Consider the following 16,799-nt stretch of genomic DNA (forward strand, 5'->3'; position numbering starts at 1 on the left):
CTTCTGGGGTTGATTAAGAATAGCCATAATTCTGTGTAACAAATCCCCTCAAGAGGTGAAATCTATTTCCCTACTCCTTGGCCCCGTCCTGGCCTTGAGACTTGCTTTGATCAATAGAAGGTGACAGAAGTGACACTGCACACATTCCAAGGGTAGGCCTCCTACAATGCTGCTACCTATGAACAAGCCCAAGTTAGCCTCATGGAAAATGAAAAACACATAAAAAGGGTCCCTGCCTTCCCTGACATCCCAGTCCACCCCAGTGAAGCCCACAGAGGTGAGAAAACCCAGCTGACAGACACCACGTGGTTCTGAGACCGGCTTATCAGCTGATTCCTGCCCAAATTGCCAACCCACAAAATCACAAGCAAATAAATGGTTGCTGTAATAACCAGTTTGTTTGTTACACGAAAACAGCTAATCAATATACCTTCTTAATCTCAATTATCTAAAAAAGATATCCCTTCTCACTGATTCATAGCTAAGTGGTTCTGGAAGGAATGTTATTATGAACAATACACATTTCTTTATTCTGTGCATCACATGAAAATGGTCAGAATCAAAATGGAGTCACTAATGTTAAAAAACAAACAGAAGACTCTGACAAATACAGCTGGGAAGACCATGAAAAGAGGGTTCTAATGGTTGTACACCTGAAAACCAAAAGTACCATGAAAGACGGTGAAAACCACAACCTTGAGCAAAGGCCATTGCAACTGAACACAAAACATACTCTGCAAGGACCTCTGAACAACTGCGTGTCCAACCTCAGACTAACACCACTTTCATGATTGATCTTTGGAGCCAAGGCTAATTATTTCAAAGCAATTAGATAATCCTCATTTTTTCCTTGAAAAGTTTTGTCTTCCTTTATTTCCCCAAATATACACATAGTTTACTGTGGCATGCATATTCCCATTGCAGTGCTCTATTCCCAGAGAAATATTTTTCTTGTAGGGACCCTCTCTCTGTTATTTAGGTTGACAGTCACTAAGGATTTACTATTTCAACAATACTAGCACTGCATGTCATCCAGTATACACTGGGAAAATAAAGTGCCGCAAGTGCATATCCAGGAGACTTTGTGGCCACCAGATTATGAGGAATGCATGTATTTAATTATTTATTTTTGGGACAGAGTCTGTCTCTGTCGCCCAGGCTATAGTGCAGTGGCACCATCTTGGCTCACTGCATTCTCCACCTCCCAGGTTCAAGGGATTCTCAGGCCTCCCAAGCAGCGGGGACTATAGGTACGTGCCATCATGCCTCGCTAATTTTTGGATTTTTAGCAGAGACAGGGTTTCACCATGTTGGCCAGGCTGGTCTCAAACCCCTAAGCTCAAGTGATCTACCTGCCTCGGCCTCCCAAAGTGCTGGGATTACAGGTGTGAGACACCATGCCCGGCCCATGCATTATTATTAATGTTGAAGTAGATAATTTAACAAACATCAATGAAGTATAAGATTTTTCACTCATAGTTGCAAAATATCATGCCAATTGCCTTCTATGAGCTGTCATAAGCCACAGCCTAGAGATTCAATTCCATTTCAAGATTCAACCAAAGCCAACTCATCAACAAGAACATGTAAAAGACAGAAAAACCCACTACCGGCAGGCTGAAACAGATGCTGTGACGTGGCCCTGGCCTGTCATGGCGTGTCACAGCATGGCACAGGCCTATATCATGTTCCCTAGATTGCTGACTACCAACTAGTTACAGCTGACTCCAATCAGGTCGGGATTTGACCATCTCTGCACTGAACCTGCAATTGCAACTTTTAAAATTGAAACGCTGCTTCTCACCTCTCCTCCCTAGACTCTATTTCACAGAGGAAACCATCACAGGGAAAGCAAGCCCTTGTTTTTTCTTCCTTCTTTGCTTTGCTTTCTTTCTCTCCTTCCTTCTTTCTTTCCTTCCTCCCTCCCTCCCTCCCTCCCTCCTTCCTTCCTTCCTTCCTTCCTTCCTTCTTTCCTTTCTTCCTTCCTGCCTTCCCTTCTTTCTTTCTTTTTTTTGAGACAGGGTCTCACTGTCTGTCGCCCAGGCTGGAGTGCAGTGGCATGATCTAGGCTCATTGCAACCTCCGCCTCCCAGGTTCAAGTGATTCTCCTTTCTCAGCCTCCCAAGTAGCTGGGATTGCAGATACGTGCCCCCACGCCCGGCTAATTTTTGTATTTTTAGTAGAGGCAGGGTTTCACTATGTTGGCCAGACTTCTTTCCCTCCCTCCTCCAACTCTTCTTTTCTTCCTTGCTGTCTCCCTCCCTACCTTCCAACTTTTGGCTGTGTTGAATTTGTTGACTCATCCTGAACAAGCAGAAACTCCAATGATACTGTCACCTAAGAGAGAACTTTGCACAAGGTTGCCATGTTTAATAATTCATTCACAGAATCCTCAATCTCACAAAAGCCTGGAATGGATTTCCTGTTTGGTTATGGCAGGGAAGCTACTGTGGCCAGGCTCCAACTCCTCCCACTGTAGATAGCAGCAGCCTTCTTAAGCAGCCTGTGGCCGGGCACAGTAGCTCACACCTGTAATCCCAGCACTTTGGAAGGCCGAGGTGGGCGGATCACCTGAGCTCAGGAGTTTGAGACCAGCCTGTCTCTACTAACAATATAAAAATTAGCTGGGAGTCACGGTGGGCGCCTGTAATCCCAGCTACTCGGGAGGCTGAGGCAGGAGAATTGCTTGAACCCAGGAGACAGAGGTTGTAGTGAGCTGAGATCGCACCACTGCACTCTAGCCTTGGCAACAGTGCAAGACTGTCTCAAAAACAGCAACAGAGAGCAGGACGTGAGACTTCTACCTGCTCACTCAGAATCATTTCTGCACCAACCATGGCCACGTTTGTGGAGCTCAGTACCAAAGCCAAGATGCCCATTGTGGGCCTGGGCACTTGGAAGGTAAATATGCAAATCTTTGCACACCCTTCTTCTCTGGAGGGGCGTTTGGGTGTTTTCTCTTTCTGCATTCAGCCAGGAAAGCCTGGAGGTCGGGCAGGGGTTGGAGAGGTAAGATTCAGCCCTGGAGCCAGGACTTAGGTTGCTTTCTTTTCTCAGAGCTGATTCAGGCTGCAAAGCTCCAAGGCTGGCTTTCCCAGCAGTGATGAGAGCTTCTCTAGCAAGTATCAAATTTCAAGCAGCTGTTGGACTTAAAACTGTTTTCCAGGGCAGTTTCTCTCTCTGGTTCTAGGACACTTAATTGGGCTCAACGTTTCCCCCAAGTCTTGGCTGTGGGTTTGTTGTGGGCTGGGTGGTTGAGGAGAGGATGCAGAGCCCGAAGTCCTTGGCACCCCTTTGCAGATCACGGTGTGAGACTTGGGCTAGCAGCATCCCTATGACCTGGAAACTTGCTAGAAATGCAAACTGGCCAGGTGTGGTGGCTTATCCCTGTAATCCCAGCACTTTGGGAAATCCAGACGGGAGGGTTGCTTGAGCCCAGGAGTTGGAGACCAGCCTGGGCAACATGGCAAGAATCCATTTCTACAAAAAATAAATAAATTTTCTGGGCATGGTGGCACGCACCTGTAGTCCCAGCCACTTGGGAGGCTGAGGTGGAGATTGAGTGTTGAGCCTGAGGGGTCAAGGCTGCAATGAGCAGTGATTGTGCCACTGCACTCCAGTCTGGGCAACAGAGTGAGATCCAAGAAAGCAAGAAAGAGAGAAAGAGAGAGAGAGAAAGAAAGAGAGACAGAGAGAAACAAAATGCAGAGTCTCAGGCTCCAACCCAGGCTACCTAATGGGCATCTGCACTTTAACAAGATCCCTACGTGGTTCCTGTACACATTGAAATCTGCAACATGCTGGGGCTGCAGAGAGCCTGGGCTGGGAGTCGTGAGCACCACCCGGCTGTGTTAACGACAGCTGGCAAAATGTGGTAAGGCACATCCAGGACTCAGTGAGGCAGGTTCCCGAGCCTCTGTTAGGCTAAGTTTCAAGTTGTTCCATCACCACCTCCCTCTGCCTTCTTTGCCATTTCCATCCATGATAGCACTACCCTAACTAGTGATGAGAAGCAGTCTTTGGAGTTCCTCTTCTCTCCTGTCCCTCATGGCTAATGTCCCTGCTGAGACTTCTGCCTCTGGCTCTCTTTCCTTCTGTGCACCCTGATTTTTCTTCTCTTCTGTCCCAAGCTAGAGGTTAGGACCCTCTGCTGCAGCACTGGGTCATCCTCAGGATACATTCTTGGTGTATCTGGAGGAACAGATCACTTCCAGCTTGATTCATGCAGAGCGTCTCTTGCTTGAATAGCAAGATTTGCCCAAAATCAGACCTTCAATCCTGTATAAACAGAATAAATAATCACTTCCAGATCTCCAGGGAATCTACTCACCCTGGGTGAGTTTACCAGACAGTTTCATAATTTTGGAATTGAATGAAAGAATTATGAAGGGAGCTGTCTTCAACACGTGGGGATGATAGACTAAAGGATTATGAACTTAGCAGTGGAGGTGAAGAAGGGTGTAGCGTAGCGGTTGGGGGCACAGGGCTGCTTCTGGGTGCCTGGCAGCAGCTCGTTTCTTGTCCAGGTGGTAGGGTAGCTGTGCATCTCTGTTTTGTGTACTGTTCAATGTTTGTTATCTCACAATTGAAGAGGTTTAAAAGACCATTTTGTGAGAGATCAAGTTTTAAGTGCTTTTTTGCCCCCATCATTGGCTTGGCTAGGTTAGAACAAAATGTGATAATTCTATTTCCCTTCTTTTCTTTTTTTCTTTCTTTTCTTTTCTTTCCTTCCCTTCTTTCTCTCCCTCTCTGTCATTCCCCTCCCTCTCTCTTTCTTTTTACAGGAGTGGAAAACAAACTCTATTCCTATAAGGTTTTCTATTTCTCTTTTTTTTCTGAAACGATCATTGTATAATGATGGCCTCTACTGAACCTTACTGTGTGTCAGGTAATGTGCAAAAAGCTTAATATTCATTGCAGCATCTCATCACCACAAAGGCCTCATGAGGCTGGTGCTATTTTTTTTTCCATTTTGCATACAAGGTTTACAGAGATTGAATCACCTGCTTAGACCCACACACCCAGTAAGTGATCGAATCCAGATTGATGGTGTAATGACCATTATCCAGATCCTTATCACCATTTGGGGAAATTGTCTGAAAATCCCTTGGGGTTATTTAGAGTCAAGCTTTCATCTGGGTCTTCAGAAAGTTGTAGTGGAGCGGTCTGCACCCCCACACACCTGAAGACATTTCAGGACTAACCTGGATGAAAAGGGAACTGACTTTTAGCTAGGATAGGACATAAGGACATAATCATAAAATAATTCACTTTCCTTCTTTTCTTTTGAAAAGTTTTGTAAAGTGTGTATCCTCCCAGAGATCCCCTGGCAAAGGAGACCCCAGTGAGGCCTTGGTTTGGAGAAACTGGGCCTTGTGGGGCAGCCTGTTGAAGGTGGCCTGGGGATAAGAGAATATGATGGTTGCTGAGAGTGGTGTAATTCCAGCTACTCGGGAGGTGGGAGGGTTGCTTGAACCTGGGAGTGTGAGGCCAGCCTGGGCAACACGGCAGGGCCCCATCTCTTAAAAAAAACACATATGTGATGAGCTTTTCTTTTGCCTTTCAGTCTCCTCTTGGCAAAGTGAAAGAAGCAGTGAAGGTGGCCATTGATGCAGGATATCGGCACATTGACTGTGCCTATGTCTATCAGAATGAACATGAAGTGGGGGAAGCCATCCAAGAGAAGATCCAAGAGAAGGCTGTGAAGCGGGAGGACCTGTTCATCGTCAGCAAGGTGCAATGGTGCATTTGGTGGGAGGCCTTCACTTCAAGGCAGGCAGAAGTATCTGGGTCGGGTTGGCAGCAAGAACTCTGTCAGCCTTTTCTACATGTACCCCTTTTCATCTCTGCCTTGATAACATCCGTGAATACAACACTATCCATACTCCAAGCCATTATTGATATTTGAACATGTCGTGGCTGCCCCACCTGCCTGTAGGTTGGTTTTCCCATAGTGGGCTTGGTTCCATGGAACCCTGCACTGCCCTGGGCCTCCCTGTTCCCCATCAGAGGGATCTACCATCTGCCCAGAGGCAATCAGAGGCCAAGGGTGCAGGCGGGTCTTGATCTGAAGCCTCCCTTTCAGCACTGTGATCTCAGTGACTGTGCCCCTGAGACTCTCAGCCAGGGGGAATTTTAGAAAATGGTAGGGGCATTTTTCTATTGTCACATATGAATTTCTTTATTCATTCTAGTAAAAGGTGAGGGATACAATGTTATAAAAAAGAAGAAGATGTTGGGTGTGAGAGGGCTGAGAATCACTGGATCTATATTATACATAACTTGCTGAAAAAAAATAACACTAGTTCTAGGTACTTGGAAAATGCATACATCTGGTAGGACAAATAGACCTCACTGTGTAGCAGCCAAGTCTGGATAAAGCCTTTGTAAAATTATCACTTGGGGCCTTATAGGCTTGATAAGGGACCTATCAGATAGGTCAGATAAAGGACCATCTGCTCCCAAAGGCCTAAGAATGCTTGACATTTAAAAGCTACACACAATTCCTGCTCTCAGAGAGCCTACAGCTGAGGAAGAGACTGAGACAGGTAAACAAATTTCAAATCTGTGGCCACATTTACTTCAATGATCTGAGACACGTATAGAGTACTAGGACAGTTGAAAAAGTCAATTGCTTTTAACACTTAAGACATGTCATTGAGGTGCTGAGCCCTGGTGATGTTCCACACTGTGTCGTGGATCTTAATCAGCTTTGTTACAAATGGCTTGTGGTGGGTTAGATGAGGATGCAAATCAAAAAGCAGGGACAATGAGTACAATGTGGCCCTTCCTTTTCCCAGTATTAATAGCTCATTGCTACACTCTTTGCAGTTGTGGCCCACTTTCTTTGAGAGACCCCTTGTGAGGAAAGCCTTTGAGAAGACCCTCAAGGACCTGAAGCTGAGCTATCTGGACGTCTATCTTATTCACTGGCCACAGGGATTCAAGGTTTAAGACACTCTCTTTCTCAGCCTCTAGTTTCTGAGCAGGTGCCAGAAAATAGTAGCTGCACCAGGGCTGTGGGGTGGTGTGGACTGGGGCAGGAGGCCTTGCATTTCATAATTGGGAATGGCAGGTGGTCAGGAAGAGACCTTGGAGAAGAAACACACTGGCCTGGAAGGGAGGTTGAGGCCATGTGTGCTGCTGAGGTGGCCACATGCCTGGGTTTTCTTGCAGTTATGTCTGAGAGAAGACATGATTTCTGGCAGCCCAGACAAGTTGCAACTGCCATATCACCTTTGTCTTGATTCCACGCCCCAGGGTTGCCCTCCCAGGAAATCTCTTGGGTTACTCTTGCATAACTATATTCCAGGGCATAATTATCTTATTAAGCAAAGTACACCTGGGAGTGGCATCTTGGAGAAAAGCCCAAGTATGGTGATGCTGGAAGGAAGCCAGTAGTGATCCAGGCACCCATTGCCTGGGGCTCTGCTCTTACCTGCTCCTGAGGGGTGGGAGAGACAAATTTCCAGCTCTCTCCCCTCCTGACCAACTGGAGTGATGATGGCCTGCCACCCCTAATTCCACGCCTCTTCTAGAGGCTGCAAGGATAGAAGTTGGCCAATATCTTCTCCAGAAAACCACAGCTTGGATATCTAATCCTTATCCAGTAATATTGAAATGAAAGTTTGCCCTTGGTTGTATATGGGATCTAGGTGTATGAGGTTAATGTCCATGGTGATAATGAACTTCTGGAATGTACTAGCAGCAAATCTTAAAGTCAAGCCAGTCGTTTCTAAAATATTAGTATGCTACAGTAGATACAGAGATTTTAATTAAACTCACATTCCTAAAGTATGTACTCCAGAACTTGAAAAAGTGGTATGCAGATGTGGTATTTAGCAAGAGTCAGGATCCTGAAACCTTGTTGAACAGAACCAAGTGTCCTGATGCAGATTCCAGTAAACTTTTCATTCTGTGTTCACAGTCTGGGGATGACCTTTTCCCCAAAGATGATAAAGGTAATGCCATCGGTGGAAAAGCAACGTTCTTGGATGCCTGGGAGGTAGGTTCCCAGCTTCCTCTAAGTGTGCTGGGAGAGAAATCTTCAGTTATCCATGAGATTCGCATGGATATGAATGAGGCCATGTGCCTGATGCTTTCTAATTTCATCATTGTGATTTTCTAGCTCTTCTAATATCTTCCTCATCACCTTTGGCTTTTGGGTACATCTGATACTATTTATATTTCAAGGCTAATAGTCTTCAAATAAGACTGGAAATACAATGTACCCCACTTTGGGGAATACACATGCTGTTCTCAAACCAGGGCGAGGCATTTGGAACAGGAGGTTTGGGCCTGGGTGTGCTCATAGCAGCTGAGTAACCTAGGGTCAGTTTTGTAACTCATGTAGGGCTCAGTTTTCTCTTCTTAAAAAGAAGTTGTATAATACATACTACCAATATATATCTTCCAGTGTGTGATAAAGATTAAGATGGTTTACATGCCAGGAACATTAGTCATAAAGCCCATTTAACCCTAGGAGACAGGGTTAACATCCCCATTTATAAATAATGACATTTGAAACCTAGATTGTTTGATGACTTGCCCAGGTCTTGTCACAATGTGTGTGGCAGAGCTGGGATTAGACCCAGACTCATCTGAATCACAAGTCCAACCACCAAAGCCATCAGCATGGTGCTTGGCAGGCAGTGAAGACACATCCAGAAATCAGGGAGCCTGAGTGCTCTGCTTCTCAGATCTAACCATGACCTGTTTCACGTCATTCACATTCAAAATGAATGAAGGGATGAACATTTTCTCTGGTCATTTTTTATTATTTATACCCTTTTGCAAATGCTAGTAGAGAATGAAGTGGAGGAATAAGTTATAAATGAACAGTGGCTTATGACTCCAAGAGTTAATCGTGTTATTTTGGTAGCTGTCTGTGTAGGTGTGCATGTAGTTGCGAGTTTGTATTGTGTTTTACAAGCAAAAATATATTATGTTTCAACTTTCTGAAATGCTTATAATTGACATGATTCAATGAAATGTAGCTTTTTCTGTGTATTGTTTGTTCAAAAGCATTAATCCACAAGCACAGCTTTTTGTTGTTTTTATTGTCTTAGACACTCTCACTCTGTCACCCAGGCTGGAGTGCAGTGGCACAATCTTGGCTCACTGCAACGTCCCTCTACCAAGTAAAAGCCATTCTCCTGCCTCAGCCTCCTGAGTCGCTGGGACTAGAGGTGCATGCCACCACGCCTGGCTAATTTTTGTATTTTTAGTAGAGATGGGGTTTCACCATGTTGGCCAGTCTGGTCTCGAAGTCCTGACCTCAAGGGATCCACCTGTCTTGGCCTCCCAAAGTGCTCAGATTACAGGTGTGAGCCACCACACCTGGCTATTTGCATTACATATGATAAGATTTTTTTATCTTAACTCTTATGATGCCATGAAGTATGGCAAGTATGTCAATGTAGCCTGCTTCTCGCAGTGCTGTTTTTTGAATGAATACAAGAACGACTGCTAAATAAAACATTTGAAAGGCATGAAAAGATAGCAGTGATCAAGATCAGAGGCTCTGATTTGAAATGAGCAGGCTTGAATATGTAAGCGTTGGATGTTTATGTAGACCCACAACCAGTTCAGTAGAAACCTCACTGACCACATTGAAGCAGAGAGGAGGAAAAATGTATAAAGAAGTCAAGTTCTAATACAGGAAAACTAACCTGACCTATGTGCACAAAAACTTTTAAATTATCTAATTGCCCCATCTGAAATTTTGGGAAACCTAATGATTTCACAGCTTCTAAATTCTACTGCCCAATTTGGATAACATCATATATCCTAGTGGTTCTCAACGTGGCTATGCATTAGAATCACCTGAGGAGTTTAAAAATCCCAACGTCTAGGCTACAACTCAGAGAAAATCTGTAAGAAACTCTGGGGGGTGAAATCCAGGCACTGGTAATTTTTTTTTTTAATTTAGAGAGAGTCTCTCTCTGTTGCCCAGGCTGGAGTACAATGGCATCATCATAGTTTAGTGCAGCCTCGGACTCCTGGGCTGAAGCAATCCTCCCAAGTAGCTGGAATCAAAGGCACATGCCGCCACATCCAGCTAATTAAAAAAATTTCTTTTTGTAGAGACAGGGTCTTGCTATGTTGCCCAGGATGGTCTCCAACACCTGGCCTCAAGCAATCCTCCTGTCTCAGCCTCTGGTAATATATATCAGAAACATATATATTATTAGTAGGTATTATAAGACTTTTTTTAAGAAGAGAAAGCTAAGGCCTACAAGAGTTAAAAAACTTACCCTAGGTTACTCAAACCTAGGCCCAAAACCCCTGTTCCAATCCTCCTGTCACCTCCCAAAGTGCTGAGATTACAGTCATGAGCCACTGCATCCAGCCAGTATTTTTTAAAGCTCCCTGGTGATTCCAAATTGCAGCCAAAGTTGAGAAGGGCTGGATAAAGTGTTCCCTGAACATGTCGTGCTTATCCCTGCCTCTGAGCTTTGCTCCTGCCTTCCTGTGTCATATGCTCATGTTTTTTCCCTCTTTTCTGTCTTTTTTTTTTTTTTTTTTTTTTTCTTTTGAGGCCCAGCTTATACTCTACCTGAAGGACTCCCCTGACAACTGCGGGCTGTATGTATCTCTTCTTTCTCTGCCCTTTCTGACTCTGTCTATGCCGCTGTGATGTTATCTGAGGCAGCCTCAGTGTCATGATTGATGGCTCCATAGAAGGGAACTCTAGCACTTTAATTGGACTATAAGAATCCCAGAAAAAGGGAGCACATTGTATACATTTACATCCTGACAACTTCTGGGCAGGATCTGGAACATGTAATAGATGGCTACTAAATACATATTGCACTGGAGGCTGCTGCTAACATGTATGGTATCTTTGGGCAAGTTTGGAAAATGCCCAATATAGGCTAAAAATTATACAAAGATTCCCTTCCTTGCGTGTCCATGCAGTTTCTGTACCAGGAAGCATGGCTGGATATGCAAACAGTGGGTCAGGCTTCAGTCCCACACAACTCCATGGCCGGGTGCCCCTATCAGGGTGTAATCTGAATGCATGACCTTCCTGCAAACCAAAGCATGCTTAGTGTGGGAGAGAGGGACTCAGGACCCACAAGTGAGGCTTCTCCGTATGCTGCAGCCTCTTCCTGACTAACACAGCTTGCCCAGGTTTGGGTGTGCAATGCACACACACAACAGCAGCTCCCTGCTATCATTTGGATTCATTAAAAATTAAATCATCTCATAAGCTTACAAATGTTGATTTTTATTTACTTTTTATTTTTTTGCATTACAAAACTTTCATATTTCCCCTGTGTACAGGAAGTTTAATTTTTTATGTGTTTCTTCACGTGTAAGGTGAGAGTGGCAAGAACATAAAATCTTTACCTGTTACTCCTAGTTTTTCTTGCGCTGGGGAGGGGCAGTAGGGCTGGAACCAGTCACTGATGGGCACCCAGGCCCTGGACTAAAATTTCCTGTGAATGCTTCGGCTAACCCTGTTACGGTGGATCCTTTAGCAATTTCTGCCCCAGGGAGGACTAAGGCAAGCCAGGGTCCCTGTAGTCCCTCTAGAGCTGCCCATAAGGTATTCCTTTCTATGATAGGCCATGGAGGAGCTGGTGGATGAGGGGCTGGTGAAAGCCCTTGGGGTCTCCAATTTCAGCCACTTCCAGATCGAGAAGCTCTTGAACAAACCTGGACTGAAATATAAACCAGTGACTAACCAGGTAAATTCTATTCAGTTTAAGGGTAAGGGTCCTGCCCTATTACTTCTTAAACATTGCGGGAGGAATGTTCAATGCTATGCCCTGAGTCTCATCTCAGGGGTCAGTGATCAGGACACTTTGGGGAGGTGTGAGGCTGATCTCACGGGTGATTTAGCAAGTATCTCAGTGGGCAGGTGTTTGGCCTTTGCTTGGTGGACTTTTTTTGTGTGTAGAACTCCCTAGGAACAATGCAAAACAGAGCCGGCTTTCCCCGTGATGAGGATTGTTTGCTGTTGCAGGTTGAGTGTCACCCATACCTCACACAGGAGAAACTGATCCAGTACTGCCACTCCAAGGGCATCACCGTTACGGCCTACAGCCCCCTGGGCTCTCCGGATAGACCTTGGTGAGGCTTCCAAGTGGTGGGTCTTTCTCTTGATAATCTTAAAAACATTATTTTATAATTGGTAAATGTTGGTATGGGTCCATAAGTTACTGGAAAGAAAAATGTGTGTAAGGTAACACGTTTGGTACACACAAATGGGATGGCAGTGGGAAAAAATGGGAATTAAACAACAACAACAACACCAAGGGCGACATGCTTGACCCTCTGGGAATATTTCCAGTTCAGCCACCCAAGGGTGAACCAGGCTTTGCAAAATGCTGAGGCTTCAGAGCCCGGGGAAAGGACCCAAGCTTCCAGGTCCTCCTGCCTGTCTCCCAGATGGAGAGGCTCTGATGATCAGTCTTGAGACCCTCATTGGAGTGGTGTCCTTCTGTACATGGTAGCCATGGTGATTATTCACATCAGCATCTTTCTGCCCCTAGGGCCAAGCCAGAAGACCCTTCCCTGCTGGAGGATCCCAAGATTAAGGAGATTGCTGCAAAGCACAAAAAAACCGCAGCCCAGGTGCCATATTTTTATTTTTCTTGTTATCCAACAACTCATTCTTCCAGTCTCGTGTTTCATATCCTGTGTTGTCCTCAACAAACTCCTTAAAGGGGAAGAATATAGGAGCTGAAGCCCTCTAAAGTGTTTCCTTTGAAGTCTGTTGGAACCTCTAGGAAACACAAGAGCTGTCACTGAAGCAAAGATAGCTTCTGTCTCACAGCTTCCTGTCAAGCCCTACAGCCCAGTGGCAAAGCATGGCTTTGGAGTCTAGGGATATGGGTGCAGATGCCAACTCTACCTCTGATCAGCCTTATGACCCCCAAGCTACTTTCTTCATTCCTAAAAAAGGAAGATCACAGGGTTGTCTCTAAGGTGAAGGGAGAGAAAGAGGTGGGGGTCTGGCACAAGTCTAATAGCTGTGAAGGGCTCAGTAATTATTAGCGATTGTACCTGAAGCCACAGTGAGCTGCAGAGATGTTTTATTCTTCCTTTCCATAAAAGGAGGGGTCTTTGGAGCTGAGTGGAAGCCTGATGTCCCCTTTCCGCATAGGTTCTGATCCGTTTCCATATCCAGAGGAATGTGATTGTCATCCCCAAGTCTGTGACACCAGCACGCATTGTTGAGAACATTCAGGTAAGTTTCCGGCTGGTCGGCCCTGGTATTCCTCAGTGGAGTGGGGGACAGGCAGACCTTCTCACTAGGCTTCTCACCTCATCGCTGCATTGTCTTTTGCCCCCTCCCTTCCCACCACCCTATCATTTTCCAGCCCAGGGAGCTAGGGTCAGTAGAGCTGAGATGAATGACCCATGGGCTAAGGACATCCTGGGGGCAGTGCCTGGTAAAGCCCTATCAGGTCTGAGCACAGTTGTGCCTCACACCACTGAGAAGACCCTCAGTTGCCCCTGAGCAGCTAGGCCCTGGGCCACACACAAGAACAGACTGTCCTGGCCTCCCTGCTCACTTCCCGGCAGCAGAGGAGGTGTGAACTGTCCTTGGAGAAGTGTCCTCTAGAAGCACCTGTCATGGAGCACAGGGCCTGTGCACGCCTGGGGTTTAGTGCCTGTGAGCCTGGTCTCCCTCCCCCCAGAACACTGAGCACTACAAATACTGTGGTCTTTGTGTAGGACCTAATTTAGAGAAAAATTTGTATCCCGTGGACAGAATGGGAAAAACTCCTGTGGCCAGTTTGTGCTGTGAATGTGAGCTCCCTCCCTGCTAGAATGGCCGGCAGTCTCCAGCCACAGCTAGAATGGCCTTACTGATGATGTATTGGAACTCCTACCTTTCCAGGTCTTTGACTTTAAATTGAGTGATGAGGAGATGGCAACCATACTCAGCTTCAACAGAAACTGGAGGGCCTGTAACGTGTTGCAGTAAGTGGCATGGAGTTAACTAGAAGCATTGCCAGGAGTTTTTCTAAACTAATAGAGGGTTAGTTGGAAGGATTGGAAGGCTGCTGGGACTACTTGTGTCTTCAAATACTATTTTGGGGCAATTTTGAAAGTTAAAATTGGGGTACCTGGGAATCACTGTGAGGGACACATCTCTAATTGCTGCTCATTGTCTGAACTTCTGGATGTAGAGCTAGAATCATAACAGAAGGTGGGTTGTCAATAGGCGGGAGGCAGAACATTCATTTATTCATTCATTCAATCAATATCTCACGGTCATCTATGTGCCAGGCATTTTCTAGGTGCTTAGGTTATCATACTGTACAAAGTTGCTGCCTCCATAGGCTTAGGGAGGGAGGGAAGAAGAGACAACAGAAATAAATCAACTCAAAATATAGATGTCAGACAGCAACAAATGCTAGACAGAAAAATAAAGTAGGGCAAAGTGGATAGGAAGCGGTGGGTGGTAGTGGGACTGATCCTTTATACAGGGTGTGTAAAGGGAGGCTTTGCTGTGAGGGATATACCATATGCATATTTGGGGGAAGAGCATTCTTGGCGGTGATAACAGCAGGTGCAAAGTCCCTGAGGTGGGATTGTGTTTAGAACATTCAAGCAAGAAGGCCAGGGAGGCTGGATTAAATCATCTCCAAATGCCTCTTAAAGGAGGTGGTGCTAACTTTACTTAAAATCTTAGATAAGTGGTGAAAAAAAGCTTTCACTCTGGCTGGGCAGGCATTCTAAATCATCTCTTTACAAGCAATACTTTCTGAATAATGTATCTAATTAAATGTATCAAAAAGAGTTGTCTGGCATTTATTACTGCCAGATCTGTAATTCAATGAGGATTTGAATCTCTTTCAATGTTTCTATAGCCAAAAACGATTTTTCACCTTTTAAAAATGATTTCGGCTGGGCGTGGTGGCCCACGGCTGTGATCCCAGCACTTTGGGAGGCCAAGGTGGGCTGATCAAGAGGTCAGGAGATCAAGACCATCCTGGCTAACATGGTGAAACCCCGTCTCTACCAAAAATTAGCTGGGCGTGGTGGTGGGCACCTGTAGTCCCAGCTAATTAGGAGGCTGAGGCAGGAGAATGGTGTGAACCCGGGAGGTAGAGCTTGCAGTGAGCTGAGATTGCGCCACTGCACTCCATCCTGGGTGACAGCGCGAGACTCTGTCTCAGAAAAAAAAAAAAGGTTTCAGTATCTCAAGCGCTGCTTGCATGTCATGATATTCCATATCTATCCTGCCCACCCTAAGTATCATAGGAGCCTTTCCTCATCTTACAATGGCTTACTTTTATTGGAGCTTAACAAAGTAGTAGCTACTTAGAGCAAAAAGGAAGGGTGAACGTAAAGTGGGACTCACCCCCCAAACTAAACTGCTTACCTTCCTATGAGCATCATTTCTGGCAATGGGTAGCAATGGAGGCAATGGGTTGGTGGGCTCTGCAGTAAATCCACCTGGCCTCAAATCCAACTTTAACACTGGTTTATTAGCTGTGTGACATTGGGCAAATTTCCTAGTTTTTCCAAGTTGGTTTCTTCACTTATAAAGTAGGATGATAATACTAATCGCAGCTAACATCCATTGAACCTTAGCTTAGAATGTGCCAGGGTCCTGCGCCCTTTTCCGGTGGTATTATCTCATTTAATACTCAGAACAATCCCCAAGCTGTCAATTCTGCTGTTGTTTCCTACTTCATGATGTTGTGAGAGTGGATTGGGACAAGACTTGTCTGTCACCTCGCCTGACACCAGGCTTACTATGGGTTGTCATTACGAGTTTATTCTGCTGCCCTGCTCACTGTCTGCCCTCCTTCCGAGCAAAGCCCTCATATCGATTTGAGGGAAGGTCAAAGTGTGGGCACCCTCCTTATGTTCTTGCAGGGAGGAGGCTAAGAGAGCACAAATATGATAGAGTCCACCAGGGAAGAATACCTTCTCAACCAGAGTTGTTGTTTTGATGGAACTCAGTTTCTCTGTTTTTGTTTTTTGTTCTTTCCTGCAGATCCTCTCATTTGGAAGACTATCCCTTCAATGCAGAATATTGAGGTTGAATCTCCTGGTGAGATTATACAGGAGATTCTCTTTCTTCGCTGAAGTGTGACTACCTCCACTCATGTCCCATTTTAGCCAAGCTTATTTAAGATCACAGTGAACTTAGTCCTGTTATAGACGAGAATCGAGGTGCTGTTTTAGACATTTATTTCTGTATGTTCAACTAGGATCAGAATATCACAGAAAAGCATGGCTTGAATAAGGAAATGACAATTTTTTCCACTTATCTGATCAGAACAAATGTTTATTAAGCATCAGAAACTCTGCCAACACTGAGGATGTAAAGATCAATAAAAAAAATAATAATCATAACCAACATGTATTGAGACTGTACTATGTGCCAACACAATTTGAAGTGTTTTCCTGTGGGTGAAGTCATTGAATCCTCAGAATAATCCCTTTGGGGTAGGTATTCTTAACATCTTATTATTCACATTTGCTGGAAGAGGAAATGGAGGTAGAGGGGAGGGAGGAGGAACTTGCTCAAGGCCACCCAGGTAGTAAGTGACTGAACCAAGTTTCAAAGGGAGGCAGGCTCTGGGGTAGCTCACAGCGATCGATGGTCATCCTCTTTCTCCTGAGCCTTTTCCTGCCACCTTTCCTTCTTGCCTGTCTCCACTCATTCCCTGTCTTGCTCTCACAGCTTGCCTTCAACACCATTGTGCCAAAGAGTCAATGGCAGAGCCTGCAAACTCCACAAAGATGCTAGTGTTCATTGAGAGAGGTGCGGCATTTTCTTGGGAAGTAGAGGTGTGGCATTTCCTTGGGAAGTAGGGTGG

General features: G+C 45.3%; 1 protein-coding gene across 4 annotated transcripts; it reads left to right on the forward strand.

The window, feature by feature from the left end:
• Nucleotides 1-2,490: 2,490 nt before the first annotated feature.
• On the forward strand, nucleotides 2,491-16,336 carry AKR1B10 (aldo-keto reductase family 1 member B10). 4 transcript variants are annotated; one of them, NM_020299.5, is made up of 10 exons: nucleotides 2,491-2,901; nucleotides 5,567-5,734; nucleotides 6,832-6,948; nucleotides 7,928-8,005; nucleotides 11,574-11,696; nucleotides 11,975-12,081; nucleotides 12,504-12,585; nucleotides 13,118-13,201; nucleotides 13,859-13,941; nucleotides 15,971-16,336. In NM_020299.5, the coding sequence occupies exons 1-10, from the start codon at nucleotides 2,836-2,838 to the stop codon at nucleotides 16,011-16,013; spliced, it is 951 nt and encodes a 316-aa protein (NP_064695.3). In that variant the 5' UTR covers nucleotides 2,491-2,835; the 3' UTR covers nucleotides 16,014-16,336. The 4 variants fall into 4 exon arrangements, with proteins under 4 accessions (NP_064695.3, XP_011514718.1, XP_047276590.1 ...); XM_011516416.2 differs by lacking the exon at nucleotides 6,832-6,948; XM_047420634.1 differs by lacking the exon at nucleotides 15,971-16,336 and having other exon boundaries at nucleotides 13,069-13,201.
• Nucleotides 16,337-16,799: the final 463 nt, after the last annotated feature.

The sequence above is a fragment of the Homo sapiens genome, chromosome 7, assembly GCF_000001405.40.
Source record: "Homo sapiens chromosome 7, GRCh38.p14 Primary Assembly".
Lineage (NCBI taxonomy): Eukaryota > Metazoa > Chordata > Mammalia > Primates > Hominidae > Homo > Homo sapiens.